Below are 24,660 nucleotides of genomic sequence, written 5' to 3'. Positions count from 1 at the left end.
ATAATATGTTTTAGAAAATTGCTCAACTTGGATTTGATGTTTTTCTTTTGCTCGGAAGTGTGATGTGTTCTTGTTCTATAATAATTTAGTAGACTTCTAAATTAGTGTACTAAAGTAAAGAGGTAATTAACTAGTACAAATATCACCATGCCTATTTGTAAGGCATCACTAGTTTATATCAGACACCTGGATATGGCCTCAGATTTCTCCTGTTTGAAGAGCCACTAAGCCACCTATTTTCCATTTCTACACTGTGTGTTTCATAGTTAGGTGGCCAAGTCCTGTGCATGTATCTCCGGTATCTTTAGTGTCCAACATGAAGTCTGCACATACTGTATATGAAAGAGATGTTTTTTAAACTGAATGTCCCTAGAGAAGCCCTTTTGGCCTTTGGCTGCAAGTTAATGTCCTTTCAAATAAGTAAATAAACACTCTTTACACCTGAACTAACCTAACTAACTTCAGATCAGTAATCATATAAATTTCTTGGGGCAGTTCCTCTGACGTTGTGAAGAATGTGGTAGTATAAAATAGCCTTTGTACTCAATTTATCAAAACTGCTTAAAAACTTTAAATTCATGTTATTCCCACCAACTAAACTTTCTAGATGGTATCCTAAGGGCCTATGCAATATAAGAATTCATTCTTACCTGTTTAAAAACTGCCCAGGCAGCCTTGCCATAAACGGATAATTGTTCCTACTGCATCCCACAGTATTTGCTTTCTAAAATTTCTGAGATCCAGAAGAGTGATCCGCTCTTGCCCACATCTTTTCCCACATCATTTCTGTTTTCTCCAATCCCTGTACATGCCGGCGGTGAGCAGCCTTTTCAGCATATGGGTCAACTCCAGAAAAATCTTTTCCGAACTGCATTAAATTGTTTTTTTTTTTTTTTGAGACGGAGTCTCGCTCTGTTGCCCAGGCTGGAGTGCAGTGGCACAATCTCGGCTCACTGCAAGCTCCGCCTCCCAGGTTCACGCCATTGTCCTGCCTCAGCCTCCCGAGTAGCTGGGACTACAGGCACCCGCTACCATGCCCGGCTAATTTTTTTGTATTTTTAGTAGAGGCGGGGTTTCACCATCTTAGCCAGGATGGTCTCGATCTCCTGACTTCGTGATCCGCCCGCCTCGGCCACCCAAAGTGCTGCGATTACAGGCGTGAGCCACCGTGCCCGGCCTGCCTTAAAATTTTTAAGCCATTTTATCTTTATCGAGAAACACTTTATCTACACTTAGATGTTTTTTGTTTTTAGAATTTAAATTTCAGCACCTAATAATTTTCATACCCACTGCAGTATTTCCATGTAATGCTGTACTGTGCAACACATCTCTCTTTCTTTCCTTTCCTTCCTTCCTTTCTTTTTTTGAAGCAGGGTGTTACTCTGTCTCCTAGACTGGAGCCCAGTGGCACAGTCACAGCTCACCACAGGCTTGACCTCCCAGACTCAAGTGATCCTCCTGCCTTAGTCTCCTGAGTAGCTGGGACTATAGGCACACACCACCATGTCTGGCTGAGTTTTTTAGTTTTTGTAGAGACGGGATCTCCCTGTGTTGCCCAGGCTAGTCTTGAACTCCTGAATTACAAGTGATCCTCCCAACTTGGCCTCCCAAAGAGCTGAGATTACAGGTGTGAGCCACTGCACCCAGTGCTATTCAGCAAATATTGTTGTTTGCTAATACTTTTCTGAAGCTTGTTTATTTTGCTCTGTTTTCTTTCTTGCTATTCTTAGTAGCTATTTAATGTTAAAACATGTATACTCTTGTAGTACCTGTATAGGTCCTTTAAACAAGATATTTCCATTGCAAATGAGATAGGCAGCCATGTCATTAACACAAAATCCTTTTATGTTGAACATACGATTGTCACCAGCTACTTTTCTGTTCTTACAAATCATAGCAAGAATTTAAATTGATGAACCAAATTAATAAAGCTTAATTTTTAAATTTTTAAATTTTGAAACCGAATATGTACAACATAACTTGAATAATAATAATAATAATTATTATTAAAATGGGCTGGAGTGCCCATTTTTTGGGTTTCTCAATTCAGTTATTTTTATTTTTTTAATTTTTATTAATCCCTTAATACTCCCTTCAGGGCAATCAATTCAGTTTCTACAACAAGACATCTTAGTAGTCATTCTGATAAGCTCTTTTTTCTCAGGAAGCAGTTAAGCACAACGTAACACCTTTTGCTTGTTTCATTGTTCTTTTTCTAGCCAGTCCTTCTGTAAAAATCTGATACTGAGCTGGGCACGGTGGCTCATGCCTGTAATCCCAGCACTTTGGGAGGCCAAGGTGGGTGGATCGCCTGAGGTCAGGAGTTCGAGACCAGCCTTGCCAGCATTGTGAAACCCTGTCTCTACTAAAAATACAAAAAATTAGCTGGGCGTGGTAGTGGGCGCCTGTCATCCCAGCTACTAGGGAGGCTGAGGCAGGAGAATCACTTGAACCTGGGAGGCGAAGGTTGCAGGTAGCCGAGATCGCGCCATTGCACCTCCAGCCTTGGCAACAGGAGCAAAAAAACTCTGTCTCAAAGAAAAAAAAAAAGTGATACTGATTATATATTATGTACTTAAAGCCTTGTACCTGCATGAGGACAAAAAATATACAGTTTAAGACATGACTATATCTTCATTTCCATGATCTTTCCCACAATAAGTAGAAAGATAAGTGTCCTTCTATATTTTAAAATGACTCCATTGTTCTAAAGTGTATATTTATGCAAGGAGTAATTTGCCCTGCTGTGTAATTACTGTAAGAACAGAAGTATGTATCCAAAACAAAGCAACCTTAACCAGCAAATAGGCTTTAATTATTGTGAGAACCTCAGCGGGGGTAGCAACCCAGGACCTAATTTTAAAACTAGAAGCAGTGAGGATGAGAAGTGAGGCAGTGGAAATAGCTCTGAGCTCTCAGAATCTGTAAGTCATAAGGAAAAAAATAGATAAAAGATGTATTTGATAATTATGCTGAAGGAATAAAAATAATTTAAAACATTTCATAGAAGCATATAGTGATGGGCGAGGGGAAACTTAAATCATCATCCCGGGGCAGCCACGGCGGCTCCATGCGTGAGGCTGGTGCCACGCGGTCTCCCGGTGTTGGCATTGTCTCCAGGCCTTCTCCTCAGTTCTGCACACAGCTACAAAACAAAAGAACAGTTGCCAGCACTTGGAAGAGGATGTGGATCCAAACCAAATGGAGGACAGATACTCCCTCTATGGACAAGATACTCATGGAAGAAGTCAAGTTAGAAGAGCAGCTGAAGGAGGCTGTGGAAGAAGATAAGCAAGCACTGGCAGATACTGAGGGCTCAGAGCAGAGCAGCCAAAAATTGGTGGAGGAGGGAAATATGTATAGCATTCAGGGCTTCTGCAAGGACTCGTTAGAGGTTGCAGATGTTTTGGAGAAGGCAACACAGTGTGTTCCAGAAGAAGAAATTAAAGACAATAACCCTCACCTGAAGAACCTCTCTCTGTGAGACTCACAATGAGTGAAGTCCAGATTCAGGAAGTGTTCAGCAAGCACTGCCAAGATGAACTCTGTCACAGCAAGTTCCACCCTTATGAGCGTGAGGGTCTTTTTTTGTCTTTGTTCACATCCGACAGGCAATGTGCCAGTGTTGTAACAAGGTGTGAGTGAGGCATATCTCACACGTGAAAACCTAGTCATCACACTCCCAGTGCTTTGGGAGGCTGAGGCAGGCGGATCACTTGAGGTCAAGAGTTACAGACCAACCTGGCCCTCATGGCGAAACTCTGTGTCTACTAAAAATACAAAAATTAGCCAGGCGTGGTGGCGTACGCCTGTAGTCCCAGCTACTCAGGAGACTGAGGCAGGGGAATTGCTTTAACCTGGGAGGCGGAGGTTTCAGTGAGCCAAGTTTGCACCGCTGCACTCCAGCCTGGGCAACAGAGTGAGACTCCGTCTCCAAAAAAAAAAATACTTTGCAGGTCAGTATAAACACTTAAAATATCATTTGAATTACCGTGTTACATTATTTATTATAGAAAAACAAGGAAACAAATATACCATATGATATTTTTGTGAGGGGGTAAAAAGCAAGAATTTGTGAAGCGGGGATGTTTCTAAATCCAGCAGAGTTTTTAATACATTCTAAAATGAAAGTCATCACATCTAGATGAGATTTGGGTAAAAAATGAAAATACAGAACAGTGATATCAGCCAGAGATTTGAGAAATAGATTTAATTTCTCAGGAGCAAGTTACATGACACCTGTGAGGACGAGGGGGAACAAGGTTGTGCTTTACTAACTGCTGATGGTGATGACAGATACACTTGTATAGAGTTTTAGTTCTGTGTTTCATACCATGCACCTTACATTCCAGCCAAATTAAAGAGCTTGACATGAAAAAATTGAGAAGAAAGTAGATTAGGATATGAGCTGGGTATGGTGGCTCATGCCTATAATCCCATCACTTTGGGAGGCCGAGGCAGCCAGATGAGTTGAGGCTAGGAGTTTGAGAGCAGCCTGGTCAACATGGGGAAACTCCATCACTACTAAAAATATAAAAATTATCTGAGTGTTGTAGTAGGTGCCTGTAATCCTAGCTACTCAGGAGGCTGAGGCAGGAGGATCACTTGAACCGGGAGGTGGAGGTTGCACTGAGCCAAGATCACACCATTGTACTCCTTAGGGACAGAGTGAGACTATCTCAAAAAAAAAAAAAAAAAAAAAAAAAATTAGCTTGGGCGTGGTGGTTCCTGCCTGTAATTCCAGCTACTTGGGAGGCCAAGGCAGGAGAATCGCTTGAACCAGGGAGGCAGAGGTTACAATGAGATCACACCACTGCAGCCTGTGTGAGAGAGCGAGACTCCGTCTCGGGGGAAAAAAAAGAAAAGAAAAGAAAAATATATATATATATATGAACAGTACCTTAGGATACGTATTTCAGCTGTAGAGAGAAGCAAAAATTGAACTATCAAAAAATTGTTTTACCTGGGCATGGTGGCTCACACCTATAATCCCAGCACTTTTAGAGGTCAAGGCAGGAGGATCAGTTAAGCCCAGGAGTTTGAGACAAGACTGGGCAACATAGTGAGACCTTGTTTCTATATATTAAAAAACAAATAAAATAAAAAGAGAAATAAAATTAAAAACTTACAAAAAATGTGTTTGTTTGGTTTGTTTGTTTTTGAGACAGAGTGTCGCTCTGCCGCCCAGGCTGGAGTGCAACGGCGCAATCTTGGCTGACTGCAACCTCCACCTCTCGGGTTCAAGCGATTGTCCTGCCTCAGCCTCCCGAGTAGCTGGATTTCAGGTGTGCAGTAGCCTGCCCAGCTAATTTTTGTATTTTTAGTAGAGACGGGGTTTTGCCATGTTGGCCAGGCTGGTCTTGAACTCCTGACCTAAGGTGATCTGCCCGCCTCGGCCTCCCAAAGTTCTGGGATTACAGGTGTGAGGCACTGCGCCTGGCCAAAAGAATTGTTTTTAATGACCAGATAAAAGGCTTAATAATATTAACTTTTTAAAAATCTGTGCAATAAAAAACATGGGAAGTCATGAATATAAATAAGAGCTTAATACAGTGAAATATCTAAACTTTACTAAAGGTAGTACCTAGGCTTTTATAGATGAGGGATCAATTTTAATTCAGCCAAATGACATGTATATGAGTAACTAGTTGACAGTGATTAGGGCTGCAGTCAAGGTGATCACAAAGTGCCATGAGTGCTTGGCCATTTTCACTGAGGGAATGAGGTGACTGCCTCTGACCCCAAGTGTCCTGCCATCCTTTTAGAGTTAAGCCAGACGGTCAGACTGCTGTGGGCTTCCACAGGATGTATTGGCGCTTGGCGTGTGATGTCAGTGGCCTGTGTAGATGAGGTCTGAGACAGCCAGTTCTGGGGGTTTGTTCTTGGCCTTATTCATGCTCTTCTACTGTGACATCCTTGTGAGAACCCTTGGGAGAAATTTCTGATTTTGGTGTCAGAATTTCACCTGAAGAATTAGTTTGCTTTCATGTTTTGAACCCTGAATTATGTGACTGTTTTCATCTTAGTGATGGTTGCTAAAAAGTTTAGTTAGAGACAGATGTATGGGCTGACTCTTGACTAATTTAGACATATTCCAGGAGAACATTTCTGTCTTGTCATCTGTGGCTCTGCTTCAGGTCTCTCTCCATGTGTGATTTTTTTTTTTTTTTTTTTTTGATGTGGAGTCTCACTCTGTTGCCCAGGCTGGAGTGCAGTGGTGCAGTCTCGGCTCACTGCAAGCTCCGCCTCCCAGGTTCACACCATTCTCCTGCCTCAGCCTCCTGAGTAGCTGGGACTACAGGCGCCAGCCACCACGCCCAGATAATTTTGTTTTTGTATTTTTAATATAGACGGAGTTTCACCATGTTAGCCAGGATGGTCTCGATCTCCTGACCTTGTGATCTGCCCGCCTTGGCCTCCCAAAGTGTTGGGATTACAGGCGTGAGCCACCACACCCAGCCTAAAGTTTTTAAAGAATTTTTAAAATATCTATCATAATCTGTCTGTCTATCTATGTATCTCTCTCTCTCTCTCTATCTATCTATCTATCTGTCTTTACTGGAGGTGGGGTCTCACTATGTTGCCCAGGCTGGTCTTGAACTCCTAGGCTCAATCGATCCTCTAGCTGCAGCCTTCCAGAGCACTGGGATTACAGTTATTTGTTATTCTTTTTATTTTCTAGTCTGTTGTGCTGAACTGCATTTATCTTTTAAATAGACTTTAAATATTCTTTGGCAGAAAGTGAGGAATACATACGTATGTTCTACATATAAAATCAGTAAAATCAAATACAAATTATCAAGCCCAATGTTGTAAGGGCCATAGGGAAATAAGCGCATACACGTGGTTAATGACAGTGTGCACTGAGTTTCTGAGGAGTGTGGCTAGCAATAGATACTTAGCACTATAAAGTTGTTTATTCTTATTAAGAGGTTAATGCCACTTTTGGAGATGTATCACAGAGAAGTAACCCAAAAGAAGATAGTCCTTACAAAATTATTTATAGCTATGATGCACAACAGTGAAAGAGGGGAATCAACCTAAATGCACAGTGGTAGAGGAGAGTCGAATAAGTCAGTTAATATAATGGAATGTTATAAAGCCACCAAAAATGTTCAGTGGGTTAGATAAATAGAAGTGTCCATAAAATACGTAAATTATCAAAACATGCATTAAATCTATTTAATAATATGTAGATGTAGCAAAAAGAATGAGATGGTCATGGTGAGACTGCTAGGTAGGAAGGGGTCCCCGGAAAAACTCCAACCGGCCTGTGCAGTGGGGTGGAGCTCCCCGGAAAAACTCCAACCGGCCTGTGCACTGGGGTGGAACTTCAGGATGTTTGCACTGTTGATAGTGGGGAGGAGCCTGGCACGTCTTCTTACTGTGTAAAACCCAGTATTCTAGCTGCTGGCGGAAAGCACTCTAGCAGGGACTCTGGCCTTGTGAGAGTCCCAATAAAACCCTGTCTTACTCACTATTCAAACCGTCTGCGAGCCTAAATTTTTGTGGCCTTGAGACGGACAAGGACCCCATCTTTAGCTGAACTAAGGAAAAATCCTGCAACAGTGGATATTGGAAATAATATTAATGGATAGATTTTACTCTCCTGAAGGATTAATATAATCTGTGAGTACTTTTAGGCTTACTGCCAGTACAAGGAGTGGCTTACTTACTACCGGTACAAGGAGTATATATACTCTCTTGAGCTTTTCTGTCTGTTTGGCTATTTCAGTGCCTCCAGAAAGGGTTGAGAAGATAATGGATCAGATTGAAAAGTACATCATGACTCATCTCTGTAAATATGCGTTCTGTCCAGAACCCCAGTGAGCCTGGAAGACTGGGTGCTATGGGAAATGTCATCAATCCAATGCTAGTGAAAGATGTGACTGGGGAATGCTGAAAAATGCGCACCCCTGGGAGGAATGAGGAAAGATGACATCCACTGACTTGTTATTTTTTTGAGAAGGAGTCTTGCTCTGTTGCCCAGGCTGGAGTGTGGTGGCACGATCTCGGCTCACTGATGATGAGAAGAAAGATCTTGCCATTCAAAAGAGGATCAGGTAGTTGCTTATTTTGTTTTGCTTTATACTTACTACCTACTAATGGAAGAATACATTGGGGGAAATAAGGCACCTGAGTTTCAAACCTTAAGAGAAAGCAACAGCTCATGTTTCTGCTTCCTTAGAGTGGAAGCTTCTCTGTGGTGTCAGAAAGACGAGGAATGTGGTGACCTCACCTATCCATCTCCCTCAAGGCAGCTTTTGGTAAGTTGTGTTTGGTGTTTGAGATTGTTTTCAATCTCTGAAATCTCCAAGGAATAGGGGGACTGTGTTCTTGGTCCATTAACATTTCCTCAAGCAGGAAGCTGTGAATATCTGTATCAAGGCAGGGGATGTCGGCTGGGCCTGGTGGCTCATACCTGTAATCCCAGCACTATGGGAGGCTGAGGTGGGTGGATCACTTGAGGCTGGGAGTTCAAGAGTAGCCTGGACAACATGGTAAAACCCCGTCTCTACTAAAAATACAAAAATTAGCCAGGCATGGTGGCGCAGGCCTGTGATCCCAGCTGTTTGGGAGGCTAAGGCACGAGAATGGCTTGAATCCAGGAGGCGGAGGTTGCAGTGAGCCGAGATTGCGCCACTGCACTCCAGCCTGGCGACAGAGACTCTGTCTCAAAAATATAAATACAAAATTATATATCTATGTGTATGTATATGTGTGTGTATAAACGTGTGTGTGTGTGTGTATATATATATATATATATGTACTGGGTGCCTACTCTATGGTTGGGGCCTATTCTAGATGCTGATACAGTTAATAAAGATCTTTGCCCTCGTGGGGCTTATAGTCTAGTGGGAGAGACAGGCATAAACAAGATAAATAAGTATAATGCATATTATGTTATATGGTGGTAAATGCTAAGGAAAATAATCAAAATTCTCCATATGTTATTAGCTCATAGCACAGGGGTTAAGAGCTTGGGTCCAGGAGGTAGACTTGGAGTTTGAATTCTAGTTCTGCAACTTATTAACCATGTGATTTTGGGCAGGCTGCATTGCGTCTCCAAGCCTCAGTTTCTTCACCTGTAAAACATAAAAAACAATAGTTTCTGCATCAAAAGTTGTCAGGATTAATTGAGTTAATACAGACAGAGAACTAAGAATAGGATGGCAGGGGTGTGAGAAGTCACGGGCTTCAGGGTTCCTAAAGGTTACTGAACTCTGAGACTAAGTTTAGGCTGGTGACCAGGGTCCCAGCACTGGGGTTCATGGAGCTTGGAGGGAGAGGACCCCTGTCGAGACACATCACAGGGGCCTCGGCATGGCAGTGTGCAGTGGAGTCTCAGCACTCTTCAGGATTTAAGCCTAGGTCTAACCTGCTGCGGAGCACAGGGAAGCCACTTCTGTTTCACCTTGAGGCAAGAACAAGGGAAGACCCTGGCCCTTGATTACACTGATAGATAAAACAGAGGAAGTGGATTTGGAAATAATCCACTCATTATATTTTGCGAACTAACAGAGCCTCCACATCAAATTGAGTGGTGATTTATTAAAGGGAAGCCAAGGCCAGGCACGGTGGCTCATGCCTGTAATCCCAGCACTTTGGGAGGATTAGGCGGGTGGATCACTTGAGGTCAGGAGTTCAAGACCAGCCTGGTCAATATGGTGAAACCCCCTATCTACTAAAAGTACAAAAAATTAAATGGGTATTGTGGCAGGCACCTGTAATCCCAGCTACTTGGGAGCCTGAGGCAGGAGAATCGCTTGAACCCAGGAGGTAGAGGTTGCAGTGAGCCAAGATAGCGCCATTGCACTCCAGCCTGGGCAACGAGTGAAACTCTGTCTCAAAGAAAATTAAAATAAATAAAGAGAAGCCACATGGAGGGGTGGAGAGGGAATACTAGCATCAGATGAGCCTGGGTGCTAATTGAAGCTTTACCTTTTTCAGTAATTGGGCAAGTTAGTCAACCCTCTGAGATTGACTTTTCTATGTAAAGTAGCTGTTCCTGTGGATGACTTAAGGGGAGTGCAAACAAAAGTCATCAGAGTTGATGTATGACTCAACTCAGAGTTGAGGATGAAAAGTGGGGATAACACCTGCCTGTACCCTGGTACGGATCATACGATGTTTACTTATTTATTGTGGAGACAGAGTCTCACTCTGCCACCCAGGCCTGCGTGCAGTGGCACGATCATGACTCACTGCAGCCTTGAACTCCTGGGCTCAAGCGATCCTCCTGCCTCAGCCTCCCAAGCAGCTGGGACCAGAGGCACACACCACCACACCCAGCTAATTTTTAAAAAAGTTTTTGTGGAAACTGAGTCTCGCTGTTTCCCAGGCTGGTCTCAAACTCCTGGCCTCAAGCAACCCTTTCGCCTTGGCCTGCAGGGATTTTCAGGCATCAGTTACTATGCCTGGCCAGATCTCATGAAGTTTAAATATGACATAGCATCTAGCAGTTAGACTTGCTCAGTGGAGGCCTCTTTTTTGCCTGGTGGGTTGGCAGGTCCTGTGTGTACAAATGATGTTTACTGGTCTACCCCTCATCTAGGTTTTTAAAAATGAGCATTTTCTCTGTACTGACAATAATGAAATAGTAACAGAATCCATTGTCTTTTTTTAAAAAAGATAATTATATTCAAACTTCTTTTTTTATTTTTTATTTTGAGACAGGGTCTCACTCTTGTCACCTAGGCTGGAGTGCAGTGGCGTGATAATAGCTTACTGCAGCCTCTAACTCCTAGGCCTAAGCGATCCTCTTGCCTTAGCCTCCCAAGCAGGGGTGACTCCCGTGCATCACCACGCCTGGCTAATTTTTATTGTTAGTAGAGATGAGGTTGCATGCCTGTAGTCCCAGGAGCTACTTAGGAGGGTAAGGCAGGAGGATCACTTGAGCCCAGGAGTTTGAGGCTGCAGTGAGCTATGATTGTACCACTGTACTTCAGCCTGGGTGAGAGAGTAAGACCCTGTATATATAAATATATATATTAAAAAAAACAAAAACCAGGCCAGGCACGGTGGTTCACAGCTGTAGTCCCAGCACTTTAGGAGGCCAAGGCGGGTGGATCACTTGAGGTCAGGAGTTCCAGACCAGCCTAGGTAACATGGTGAAACCCTGTCTCTACTAAAAATACAAAAAAGTTAGCCGGGTGTCATGGTGATGGGCCCACAACCATGCCCAGATAATTCTGTATTTTAGTACAGATGGGATTTCACCGTGTTGTCCACGCCAGTCTCAAACTCCTGAGCTCAGGCAATCTGCTCACCTCAGCGTCCCAAAGTGCTCGGATTACAGGCATTAGCTACCATGCCCGGCCAGTTCACTCTTTAGTAAAGTTTTTACAGCAACTTTGCATTCTGTAGTGATTTCAGTCACTCTCAACAAATTCACTTATAGTTATCAATATTTGAACTTTTGCAGGTGTTGTCATAGATAAGACATTTGGCCAAATGGACTCTTGATTATTGCAGTAAAAATTCTGCTCAAATTAGGTAACAGGCATTTGAAGTTTTAAAGTTATGCAAACTGTGTTCCAGAAATTTCACTTCTAGGGATTTAAGAAACAGTCATGATTCTACAAATAAATGTGCTGTAGGGATGTTCATTTAACAAAATGTATACAGGGAAATCCTGTAACAGCCTAAGTATCCCATAATAGAATTCATTAAATGTTATGATACATACATATGATGAAATGTATGCAGCCATTAAAAAATCTGGTGCAGTGGCTCATGCCTGTAATCCCAGCACTTTGGGAGGCCGAGGCGGGTAATCACTTGAGGTCAGGAGTTTTAGACTAGCCTAGCCAACATGGTGAAACCCTGTGTCTACTAAAAATACAAAAAATTAGCTTGACGTGGTGGCCCATGCTTGTAATCCCAGCTACTTCGGAGGCTGAGGCAGGAGAATCGCATGAACCCACGAAGCAGAGGTTGCAGTGCGTGGAGATTGCACCATTGCACTCCAGCCTGGGTGACAAAAACAAAACGCTGTCTCAATTAAAAAAAAAAATTAAGAATATTTGACATGAAAGGTATTTTTACAATACATTAAGTGAAAGAGCAGATTACACCACAGTACATATAGTGTGTTTATATTTTAAGAAAGTAAATATATATTTTGAATATTGGAATTATATATACCCAACTACTAATGTTATCCATTGAGTCATGGAATTACAAGTGACTTTTTTTTTTTTGCTTGTCCCTATTTTCCAGTTTTTCTGCAGTGACCGTACTTGCAATAATTAAACATAGTTGGTCATTTAAAATACATCTCTGATACTCTCGTCAAAGGTGGAGCCCAGTCCCTATCGCCTTGAGTGAGGGCTGGGTTACGTGATTCCCTTCTGACAGATAGGAAAAAGCAAAAGTGATGGCTTGCAACTTTGCAAACTACATCATAAAAGGTACTGTGGCTTCCTCCTTGCTCACTCTTTGATTACTCACTTGGGAAAGCCAGCTGTCACACCATGACACCTAAGCAGCCTGTAGAGAGGCTCATGTAACAGGAACTGAGGCCTCCTGTCAGCAGTCACATGAGGGAGCCATCTTGGAAACAGGCTTTAGGTGACTGCAGTCTCAGTGGACAGCTTGAGTGCAATGTCATGAGACACCCTGAGCCCAAATGACCCAGCTATGCCACTCCTGAATTCCTGACCCACAGAAATGGAGATCCTAAGTAAGTATTTTATTTATTTATTTATTTATTTATTTATTTTTGAGACAGAGTCTCACTCTGTCACCCAGGCTGGAGTGCAGTGGGTGATCTTGGCTCACTGTAACCTCTCCCTCCTGGGCTCAAGCGATTCTCCTGCATCAGCCTCCTGAGTAGCTGGGACCACAGGTTTGCACCATCATGCCTGGCTAATGTTTGCATTTTCTGTAGAGATGGAGTCTCACTGTGCTGCCCAGGCTGGTCTTAAACTGCTGGACTCAAGCGATCTCCCACCTCGGCCTCCCAAAGTGGTGGGACTGCAGGCATGAGCCACTGTGCCTGGCCCTAAGAATTTATTTTAAGCCACTAGGTTTCGAGTAATTTGTTATATAGCAGCAGATAAATAATACACATATTTTCTGTGGTGATCACATTTATAATTTAAATTGCATTAAAAAGGTCGGGAGCAGTGGCTCATGCCTGCAATTCCAGCACTTTGGGAAGGGTGAGGCTGAAAGATCGCTTGAGCCCAGGAGTTCAAGACCAGCCTGGGCAATGTGGCAAAACTCCTTCTCTACAAAATACAAAAAAATTAGCCAGGTGTGGTGGCGTGCACCTGTAGTCCCAGATACTTGGGAGACTGTGGTGGGAGAATCACCTGAGTCCAGGAAGTCGAGGCTGCGGTGAGCTGTGACTCTGCCACTGTACTCCAGCCTGCATGACAGAGTTAGACTTTGTCTCAAAAAAAATTTTTTTTTTGGCTAGGCGCAGTGGCTCATGCTTGTAATCTAGCACTTTGGGAGGCTGAGGCAGGTGGATCACGAGGTCAAGAAATTGAGACCATCCTGGCCAACATGGTGAAACTCTGTCTCTACTAAAAATAACAAAAATTAGCTGGGCATGGTGGCATGCGCCTGTAGTCCCAGCTACTCAAGAGGCTGAGGCAGGAGAATCGCTTGAACCCGGGAGGCAGAGGTTGCAGTGAGCCGAGATAATGCCACTGCACTGCAGCTCAAAAAAAAGAAAAAAAATTTTTTTTAATTAAAAAGTTGTAATATCTAAAATGAGCAAAATCACTGTGTGCCGCCGAGGCGGGTGGATCATCTGAGGTCAGGAGTTCAAGACCAGGCTGCAGTGAGCCGAGATTGCACCAGTGCTCTCCAGCCTGGGAGAAAGAGTAAGACTCCGTCTCAAAAAAAAAAAAAAAAAAGGAAAAATGCATTTAAAAAGGACAGCATCAACCAGGTACAGTGGCTTATGCCTGTAATCCCAACACTTTGGGAGGCTGCGGGGAGAGGATAGCTGAGCCCAGGAGTTTGAGACCAGCCTGGGCAACATGGTGAAACTCTGTGTCTACAACAAAAATTGGCCAAACGTGGTAGCATGCACGTGTAGTCTCAGCTACTTGGGAATCCTGGGGGCAGGATTGCTTGAGTCTGGGAGGTTGAGGCTGCCATGATTGCACTACCTACTCCAGCCTGGGCAACAGAGCAAGACCTTGTCTCAAAAAAGAAAAAAAAATGCAAAAACAAAACAAAAGAGAATAGCATCATTTCCTTATCATTAGTTTGAATGAAGTGAGTCATTGGTAAAAGTTTCCATTTTCAAAAAAGGCATTAAAATATAGTGTGAGGCCAGGCATGATGGCTCATTCCTGTAATCCCAGCACTTTGGGAAGCTGAAATGGATTGCCTGAGCCCAGGAGGTTGAGGCTGCAGTGAGCCATGTTTGTGTCGCTGCACACCAGCAACCTGGGCAACAGAGCAACACTTTGTCTCCAAACAACAAAACGTGGTTTACCACAACCAACAGGAAAAATCTGGATAAAACTGTATGAAATATTTACTGCTGTGCTCAACATGGTAGTGTAGAGATCAAGGGCAAAAGTCCTGGGGTCAGGCCACCTGGTCTGCTGTGTAATTAGCTGTGTCATCTTTGGAAAGGTAGTTGAACTCTCTGTGTCTTAGAATTCATTTTCTAAAATGTGGGCGGGGCGCGGTGGCTCATTCTTGTAATCCCAGCACTTTGGGAGGCTGAGGCGGGCGGATCACGAGGTCAGGAGGTCGAGACCATCCTGGCTAACACGGTGAAGCCCCGTCTCTAGTATACTAAAAATACAAAAAATTAGCCAGGCATGGTGGCGGGTGCCTGTAGTCCCAGCTATACTCTGGAGGTCATTTTGGCTAATAACATAACTCTCCTTTTGAGTGAAAGGGTTAAAGTGTTCCTCTCAAAAGTACTTATTTTTTAAGCTTGTTCTTCAGATTTGGCCAATATCCTAAGCAAAATGCCTTCAATATGAAGTAAATATTGCTTGATTGTAGGGAACTTGTCCATAATGTACTTGAGAATGCAGATACAAATAAAAGAATGTCCGTGTCAGATTTTATTTTCCACAAATTATGTTCTCTTGCACTTTCAGCTTAAGTTCTTGGACTCACTGAGGCAGTAAAAGAACCATATCCTGTGTTTGAATCAAATCCCAAGTTCCTGTACGTAGAAGGTTTGCCAGACAGGATTCCCTTTCGAAGCCCTCCTGGTTTGGAATTCCATGACTTGAAAGGATCGTCCATGGGAGTAATAAAATCAAATTTGTTGGTAAAAAGTAAGTTTTAGGCCAGGCGTAGTGGCTCACGTCTGTAATCTCAGCACTTTATGAGGCTGAGGTGGGCAGATCACCTGAGGTCCGGCGTTCGAGACCAGCCTGGCAAACATGGCAAAACCCCGTATCCACTAAAAATACAAAAAATTAGCCGGGCATGGTGGCGGGCACCTGTGATCCCAGCTACTTGGGAGGCTGAAGCAGGAGAATCACTTGAACCTGGGAGGCAGAGGCTGCAGTGAGCCGAGATCACAACACTGCACTCCAGCCTGGGTGACAGAGTGAGACTCTGCCTCAACAACAACAACAACAACAACAATAAAAAAGTAAGTTATATTTGCCACTGTAGTCATTTCTGGAATTAAAACAATAAAATGACATTTCTACTAAAATGTTTTTCTAGCTAGAAGTGACAGGTGTGTCTGTAAGTCCTTGATGGAAAAGCCTGGCTCTGAGCTGCAGTCCTGGCACTCTCCATTGCCCCTGCCATTCCCCATCCCATACTCAGTCATCTTCATCAGTGCAAGAATAGTGACCACTGCCTCCCCGATGTTCAGACACACTGTGGTGGCTTGCAGTATGCCTAAGTACTTGAATGAAGTTTAATCTGCTGGGTTTTATCTGCTCTGTTATTCCTGGGTCAATCTTATTAGCAAGTAAATATTGATGATTGAGTTTCTTTTCCTTTTTCTGAGACAGAGTTTCACTCTTGTTACCCAGGCTGCAGTGCAATGGCACGATCTCGACTCACTGCAACCTCCACCTCCCAGGTTCAAGTGATTCTCCTGCCTCAGCCTCCCAAGTAGCTGGGATTACAGGCATGCACCACCATGCCCGGCTAATTTTTGTATTTTTCGTAGAGACGGTGTTTCACCAAGTTGGTCAGGCTGGTCTCAAACTCCTGACCTCAGGTGACCCACCCACCTCAGCCTCCCAAAGTATGGGGACTGCAGGTATGAGCCACCGTGCCCGGCCTGATGATGGAGGTTTTTTTTTAATTATATCTGCGTTTCTGCAGAATTTTGGTGGCTGAAGAAAGTACACTAGTGTTAATTTTCTTTTTCATGAAAGAAGTAATTTACTTTTCATACAATTACTTGCCAGTCATGGGAAGGAAAAGTCAGGGTTTTCATCTACAATGATAGGAATTATTGTGACATTACAGGATGACTCTGTGAACACCTTTAGGAAAAAACCCTGGTCATATCACAACCGTTTTACTAGCTGTGAGGCCACCATTGTACTGGCTGCTGTAACATTTCTTGGTTTTCTTTCTAGACCTGAACTGGTTATTTCCTACTTGCCTCCTGGAGTTGCTAATAAAATAAACACTAAAGGTAAGAGATTACCTGTGTTTTGTATTATATTTCACTACATTAAGACATTCTTTATCAGCATTCCTTAAATCACACAGAATCATTGGCCATTCTCTTTGTGGGACTTGCAGTTAATTTCTTGGCTTTTTAAGGTATTTTATTTAATGGACCTCTTTTTCTTTAAAAAAAATTTTGTTGGAAGTGTCACATTTGCAATCCCACTTCATTCATGTTTCCATGGCTTTGTTGAGTCCCCTGTGGAGGATTACACTACAAGTTTAATTCTGCAGGTTTCTTTGAAAAGAGCCAAACTGAATGAATTTTAATACTCCGCTCTTATAAAGCATTTCCTTCTGTATTTTTTTCTACAATATACTAAAGTAATTCTGTGCTTTATTTTATAGCTTCGCAGTTTCTAAAAAGACCATGAAGCCCTGAGAGTAATGAAAAGGTTCCTGAAATTGAGGTCACTGTGGAAGGTAAGGGCCAGTCCTTGGCATGTTTCTGTTGATTCTCCAGTTTAATAGTTATGTCAATTCACTAGCTACATGTTTATACAGATGAAGGTAACCAAACTAGTTTTACCTGTGAACAGCTGCCTGTGATAAAGCTAAATTTCTGAATGTCTTTAATTGAAATTTTGAAAATTATTAACAGGAAATAAATAACATGGATCACATCATAAACTGCACTCAAGAAAATCCCTAAAATGCTTTTCCTTTATTACAACAAATAAGGGTGCAGAGGGTCACATGGAATGTTTCATCTTTTGTCTTGTTTTTTCTGTTCTTTTAAGGAAAGAAAGTTGAGGGGTGGTTTAAAAAGCAGTGCCTGGAATGAAAGTATTTCCTACAACATCCTCTAATGTACTTCCTTCTCTCCATGCCCACGGGGTCTGCAGGGTTCTCATCTTTTCATGTTCACAGTATTAAAATACTTCCTACAATACCAAAGACAGTTCCCAAACAACCATCAAATATGGGTATTTCTTCCATCTCCTCATAAATGCAAAAGGAAATAACCGCATTAGGATCATTCTTTTTTATTTGGAGATGAAAGTCTCGCTCTGGCACCCAGGCTGGAGTGCAGTGGCATGATCTCTGCTCACTGCAGCCTCAGCATCCCAGGTTCAAGCAGTTCTCCTGCCTCAGCCTTCCGAGTAGCTGGGACTCCAGGTGCACACCACCACATCTGGCTAATTTTTTGTATTTTAGTAGAGATGGGGTTTCACCATGTTGCCCAAGCTGGTCTCAAACTCCTGAGCTTAGGCAGTCTGCCTACCTTGGCCTCCCAAAGTGCTAGGATTACAGGCGTGAGCCGCCACGCCCAGCCTAGGATCATTTTTTTTTATGTCCTAGGTGTCGATTTTTTAAATAAGGGTTTGCAGTACTGGTGTTTAGTGGTGCAGTAATTTCCATTTAATAATCTGGCATACTCAAAGAGAGGATACCAGATGACTTAAGAGTATACCTCACAGAGAGTATACCAGATGACAGAGTATACCAGATGACTGAGAGTATACAGAGAGTATACCAGATGACTAAATGGGGATTAGAGTATTTAAACTCTTCATTCATTCATCCTGTTAAAGGAAAGCTTACTTAATAACATAAACTCTTGGTTATGAATTAGATGTTTCTCCTATGAAAGCTTGTGGGCATCTTTGAGCAACTTAATACCTGACTATTTCTGTTCAAAAATGCCGAGAACTAAAAATCCATTCAAACCTTTACTTTTCTCCTTTTGGAAAAGATCAGAGGATCAGAGATCTCTCCTCAACACGAGGTGCCATCCTTTCCTGAAGGAGCTCCTTGTAAAGTGCATGAGGTGTTCCTTTTGGTAAAAAGACACACTGCGCGACCGCAGAGACCTGAGCCTGAACCTATAAAGATCTGAACAAGGTGAACAATGAGACTATGTAAAGGGGAGGTTAATTCCAAGGTGACAGGAACTTTATGGATAAGATTATGATTTCTACACTTCGTGTCACCTTCTAACTCTAGTATGAAGTTACATTGTATATGTTGGTGCCCTAATCTCAGTCTGTGGATATTAGATATTAAGATTGGGGAGAAAATAAAACAGCCAGTTAATGTGCACCATTTTTACAGGCACTGTCAGTAGCATATAAGAAATAGCATGTTTCTCAAAAGTAAATTAGTTCATAGTAGTCAGTTGGCACATTTGGCAGGTACTTCTGTGAACTTTTTTTTGGTATCTTTAAACTCTTCATTCATTGATCCTGTTAACCCAAAGCTTATTTAATAACATAAGGTTTTGGTTATCAATTAGATGTCAGGAAAAACGGAGAAATGAACAGCTAATATAATGAGTTAAAAGGATTGAGGCTGTAGGAATAATGTTACCAAGAATAACTTTAGGATTGTTTGTTACTGTAGCTAGCTGTGATTATCAAAATAGGGAGATGCCTGTTTTTCTCACAAAAATGTAATTGTGCAGGTAGGCTAAGGCTGATATTGGTTCAGTTGCTCAAACATGGTAAGACTGGCTTCCCTGTGCCTCTCTTCACTCTCCTTTCTGGTGCACAATGACCAAGAGAACTCCTGTGATCGTGTCTCCATCCATCATGTCTCCATCCAATTATAAGTAAAGAAAATGCAGCATGAGCCCTGCCTGCACCCACAGTCAGGAAAAGCAAGAGGCTTGTTTTGAATCCTCGCAGAATTTTGCATAAGTCTCTTGGTTTTAAAAACGATGGCTTTTAAAATAATAAAGTAAAATAAAGCACAAACTCTGAGGCCAAAGTGATAGGATTTAAATCAGTGCTCTGCCACTTAGAAAAATTAAATTCTCTGTTGTTTAGGTTGCACACCTGTAAAATGGGAGGAAGAAAATAATATTTGACTCATGGTTTTTAAAATTTGAGATGTTATTTCTTTAATAAACAGCTGCTATCATTTGAGAACACTTGCTATTTAGGCACTTAGGAATTTTTCATTAGAAGGGATGTAAAGAAAGACGATGGGCATTTGTAATGGATTTAACATTCATCGTTTGACTGCCTGACTGACCCCCAGAGCTGTGATTTTACTAATGAATTTTTCAGAAGTCCCTTAGCTAGCAATGAGCCTAACCAGCCTCTCACTCTCACCATTCATTGCTCTTGTTCTTATCTGTTTCTCTACAAACTTGGTTACTCTCACAAAGTGATAAAAACTTGCATTTCTTTTCTTTCCTTTTTAGAGACAGGATCTTACTCTGTCACTTAGGCTGCAATGCAGTGGTGTGATCATGGCTCGCTGTGGCTTCAAACTCCTGGGCTCAAGCAATACTCCCGCCTCAGCCTCCCAAGTAGCTTGGACTACAGACATACACCACCATGCAAAGCTAAATTTTTTATTTTTTTGTTGTAGAGATGGGATTGTGCTATGCTGCCCAGGATGATCTCAAACTCCTGTCCTCAAGTGATCCTCCTGTCTCAGCCTCCCAAAGTGCTGGAATTATAGGCAGCCATGGGCCACCTGTGTCCAGCCCGCTATTTTCTTTTTTTAAATAACAACTTTATTGAAATGTAGTTCACATACCATGCAATTTATTTGTCAAAGTATGCAATTCAGTGGTTTTTAGAATATTCATGGAGCTGTGATCTATCACCACAATCCATTTTAGAAGCTTTCATTACCCTATAGAGAAATCCACTGTTCTTAGCCACTAGCTAAGAACATGGCGGGGAGTAAGCCACTAGGTTACTCCCCGCCATGCTTCTGTGTTGCCAATAGGCAACCACTGATCTATTTTCTGTCACTATAGATTTAGATTTGCCTAATCTGGACCTTCTATATAAATAGGATTGTGCAATATGTGATTGTTTGTGGCTGGCTTTTTTTTCCCTCTTAGCACAGTGTTTTCAGAGTTTCTTCCTGTCATAGCATGTGTCAGTATTTCGTTCCTTCTATGGCTTAGTAATATTCCATGGTAGAGACACACCACATTTTGTTTATTCTTCAGTTGATGAACATTTGGGTTGTTTCCATGTATTGGCTATTATGAATAATGCTGCTATGAAGATGCATGTACAAGTTTTTGTGTGGACATATATTTTTATTTCTCTGGCATATATACCTAGGAGAGAAATTGTTGCATTCTATGATACTGTACATTTAGCCTTTTGAGAAACTGTTTTCCAAAGTGGTTACACCAGTCAGGTGCAGTGACTTACACCTGTAATCCCAGCTACATGAGAGGCTGAGGTGGGAGGATCACTTGAGCCTACGAGTAAAGAGAGACCAGCTTGGGCAAGATAGCAAGACCCTGTTTCGGTTTTTGAAAAATCAAATTAAAATGACAAGAAGACAGGTGCGGTGGCTCACGTCTGTAATCCCAGCACTTCGAAAGGCCGAGGCAGGTGGATAACTTGAGGTCAGGAGTTCAAAACCAGCCTGGCTGGCCATGGTGGCAGATGCTGTAATCCCAGCTACTCGGGAGGTTGAGGCAAGGAGAATTTTTTGAACCCAGGAGGTGGAGGTTGCAGTGAGTCAGGATCACACCACTGCATTCCAGCCAGGGCAAAAGAGTGAGACTCTGTCACACAAAAAATGTAAAAATATAAATAAATAAATAAAATGACGAGAAAAGAAACACCCCAAGTAGTTAAACCATTTTGTGTTCCCACCAGTAATGTATGCGGGTTCCAATTTCTCCACATTTTCACCAACATTTCTTTTTTTGAGACATGATCTCTCTGTGTCACTTAGGCAGGAGTGCAGTGGTGTGAACATGGCTCACTGCAGCCTCGAACCCCCAGACACTCGTGATCCTTTTATTTCAGCCTCTTGAGAAGTTGGGACTACAGTCAAACTCCACCACACTCAGCTAATTTATTTTTAGTAGAGACAGGGTTTCACTATGTCGCCCAGGCCGGTTTCTAACTCCTGGACCCAAGTGATCCACCTGCCTTGGCCTCCCACACTGCTGGGATTATAGGTGGGAACCACCATGCCTGGTCCTCTCTCTCTTTTCTCTCTTCCCTTTCTTTCTTGGTGGAGGGAAATATGTCATGTACCAGCTATCCATCCAATGAGTGCCCATCAGTTCCAAATTCACCCTTCACTGCCTGATCTGCAAACATAGAGGTGTGTTCCTTAAATGCTTCCTCTGTCAGCTGGTACATGATTAAATGTTGTCAGTACATAGTACTAGAGGGACCTTGTAAGAGGCTTTTCTTTCTGGTTGTTGTGTGCGAATCTCCACAGGCACTGAGCTTCTCCAGCACCGGGATGCTGCCCTGCACAGTGCTCAGCAGCATCCAGCGACCAGCAGTTTCTCTGCACCTGCCTGGGTGGATTTGTAGTGAGACAACTGTTCATTAATAGCTTAATCTAGCACCCCAGAGGGTGAATTTTCAGCAAATTCCAGAGGGCAGATTGCTAGCATGTTCAACCATGTGGTAATGCAGCAATTCTGCTATTGAATTACCCATGACTGTGCCCTCTCCAAGTGGGGGCTGGATCTCAGCCCTAGTGGGGAGTCTTTTCCTTGATCACGGTATCTCAGCGTTGGGACAGTAGGGACAGTTACTGCTTGTTATATCAGCTGGTCCTATACTCTTTTTTTTTGGAGACAGGGTCTCCCTCTGTTGCCCAAGCTAAAGTGCAGTGGCGAAATCATGGTTCACTGCAGCCTTGACCGCCCAGGCTCGAGCAATCCTCCCACCTCAGTCTCCTAAGTACCTAGGACTATAGGTGTGTGCCACCACACCCAGGTTTTTTTTGTTGTTGTTAGTTTGTTTGTTTGGGTAGAGACGGGGTCTCACTGTGTTTCCCAGGCTGGTCTCAAACTCCTGGCCTCAAGGAGTCTTCCTGTCTTGGCTTCCCAAATTGCTGAAATTATAAACATGTGCCACCGTGCCTGGCCTCTGCTAGTCCTATATTCTCTAGCGTTCTCTTTACTTTTTGGTAGCCATCTCTCCTTATGCTGTTGCCCTGTTATAATTAATAATTTTTTATTTTAAATTTAACAGTTTAAACTTTTGAGTGGTTTATGTCTCCTGTTTGGACTCTGACAAATACAGAATTGATGCTAGGAAGGGTCCCGGGAGATAGACCCAGACAACTGGGATTTGGGCATAGGTTTGGTTATCCAAGGGGCAGTGCTGAGCTCCTTGCCAATGGGACATGGGATGCTGTTGATTTCGAGGACCTCACAATGACTCACGCTACCACTTTCTGTTGATTGTGATGAAATGCCAGCTGAGGCACATGCCTTGGGAGCTAAGTGGCTGCTGCACTTGACCACTATGAAGACTGGTGTGGGAAGAATCCTTTTGGATGCACTTGCAGGGGCCCCTAATCCCTGGGTCACAGGACTATAATGGGCTACATGGCAGGAGGTGAGTAGAGGGTGGGCGAGCGAAGCTTCATCTGTATTTACAGCTGCTCCCCACGTTACCACCTGATCTCTGCCTCCTGTCAGATCAGCGGCAGCATTAGATTCTCATGTGAGCACGAACCCTATTGTGAACTGTGCATGCAAGGGATCTATCTTGCTCTGTCCTTAGGAGAATCTAATGCCTGATGATCTGTCACTATCTCCCATCACCCCCAGATGGGACCATCTAGTTGCAGGAAAAGAAGGTCAAGACTCCCAGTCATTCTACATTATGGTGAGTTATATAAGTATTTCGTTATATGCTACAATGTAATAATAATAGAAATAAAGTGCACAATAAACGTAATGTGCTTGATATATCCCAAAACTGACCTTTGCTGCCCCCAGTCTATGGAAAAACTGTCTTCCACAAAACTGGTCCCTGCTCCCCCAAAAATTGGGGACCGCTGCACTCAACACAGAGAGAAAAACAAAAAGCTCAAGTCTTTACCTCTCAGCGTAAGTCATGGTCTAAGATCCAGAGAGCTTCCATGATAGCCCAAACACAATTCCTTATTTCTTGTATCCACAGGGCTAATATTATTGGAAATCAAACACAAACTTAAATGTGTTGGTTGCTGAATTACAATGACAGTTGAATTCACTGTCACCAAGGTTCTCATGAGAATGTTAGGGCACTAATAAGTGAAGAATGGGATCTTTTTCTTTTTCTTTTTTTCTTTCTTTTTTTTTTTTTTTTTTGAGGCAGTCTCCCTGTGTTGCCCAGGCTGGAGCACAGTGGTTTGATCTTGGCTCACTGCAGTCTCAACCTCTCAGGCTCAAGCTATCCTTCCGCCTCAGCCTCTGGGGTAGCTGGGACCACAGGTACGAGCCACCATGCCCAGCTAATTTTTGTGTTTTGTAGAGATGTGGTTTCATCGTTTCATCACATTGTTCTGGCTGGTCTCAAACTCCTGGGCTCAAGCCATCCACCCACCTTGGACTTCTAAAGTTTTGAGATTACAGGCAGGAGCCACCATGCCCAGCCCTTTTCTCTTTTACACTGGTTTATTGTGAGGGCCTCCAATTGTCTTTCTGACTATTAGGCTTGCTCACTTCGGCCTGTTCACTGAAGCCAGAGGAATTCTCCTAAAAGGCAAATTTGGGTCAAAATAGTTCTTGATTAAAACCTGCTGGTGACTGCCCATTGCCTTTAAGACGAAGTCCAAACTAATTTGGCCACAGGGCCTGGTAAGAGCTGGTCTCCGCTCACCTTCCCAGTTTTATCCTGCACCACCCTCCCCAAATCCCTACCCTCCAGCCACAAGGAATGTTAGTTTCCTTGGGGGACTTTACTGGTCCTTCAGGAAACCCTCTTCCTACCTCCATCATCACTTTTTCACTCTCATCTTTGCTCATTTTTAGCCTCAGCCAAGATGTCTCACCCCACTCTCTCTGATGCAACAAGAAGCCCCTGGAGAACGTTTCAGTCCCATTTTGTACTTCTGTCATGTGCTCATCACAGTCTGGTAAGTGTTGGCCTGTGATTCCTAGATTAGTCCATTTTGCATTGCTATAAGGAAACACCTCAGGCTGGGTAGTTTATAAAGAAAAACAGTTTATTTGGCTCACAGTTCTGCAGACTATACAAGTAGCATGGTGCCAGGCTGGGAGCAGTGGCCCACACCTGTAATCCCGGCACTTTGGGACGCTGAAGCAGGAGGATTGCTTGAGCCCAGAAGTTTGAAACCAGC

General features: G+C 43.0%; 1 non-coding gene and 2 pseudogenes across 2 annotated transcripts; 2 read left to right on the top strand and 1 right to left on the bottom strand.

Annotated features, from left to right (window-relative positions):
* On the top strand, nt 3,063-3,588 carry GRPEL1P3 (GRPEL1 pseudogene 3; annotated as a pseudogene).
* LOC124901854 (small nucleolar RNA U13) lies at nt 3,602-3,700 on the bottom strand. The gene has a single exon (XR_007060684.1). It is a non-coding gene; the product is annotated as a small nucleolar RNA U13 (small nucleolar RNA).
* A 4,035-nt stretch (nt 3,701-7,735) lies between these two features.
* GTF2IP7 (general transcription factor IIi pseudogene 7) lies at nt 7,736-24,435 on the top strand (annotated as a pseudogene). Its single transcript, NR_135079.1, has 6 exons — nt 7,736-8,063; nt 8,189-8,267; nt 16,542-16,600; nt 16,984-17,058; nt 23,097-23,201; nt 24,332-24,435. The product of NR_135079.1 is annotated as a general transcription factor IIi pseudogene 7 (transcript).
* Nucleotides 24,436-24,660: the final 225 nt, after the last annotated feature.

This window comes from Homo sapiens, chromosome 7 (genome assembly GCF_000001405.40).
Source record: "Homo sapiens chromosome 7, GRCh38.p14 Primary Assembly".
Lineage (NCBI taxonomy): Eukaryota > Metazoa > Chordata > Mammalia > Primates > Hominidae > Homo > Homo sapiens.
The sequence above is the reverse complement of the archived record's forward strand: the minus strand, read 5'-3'. Positions and strand labels throughout refer to the sequence as shown.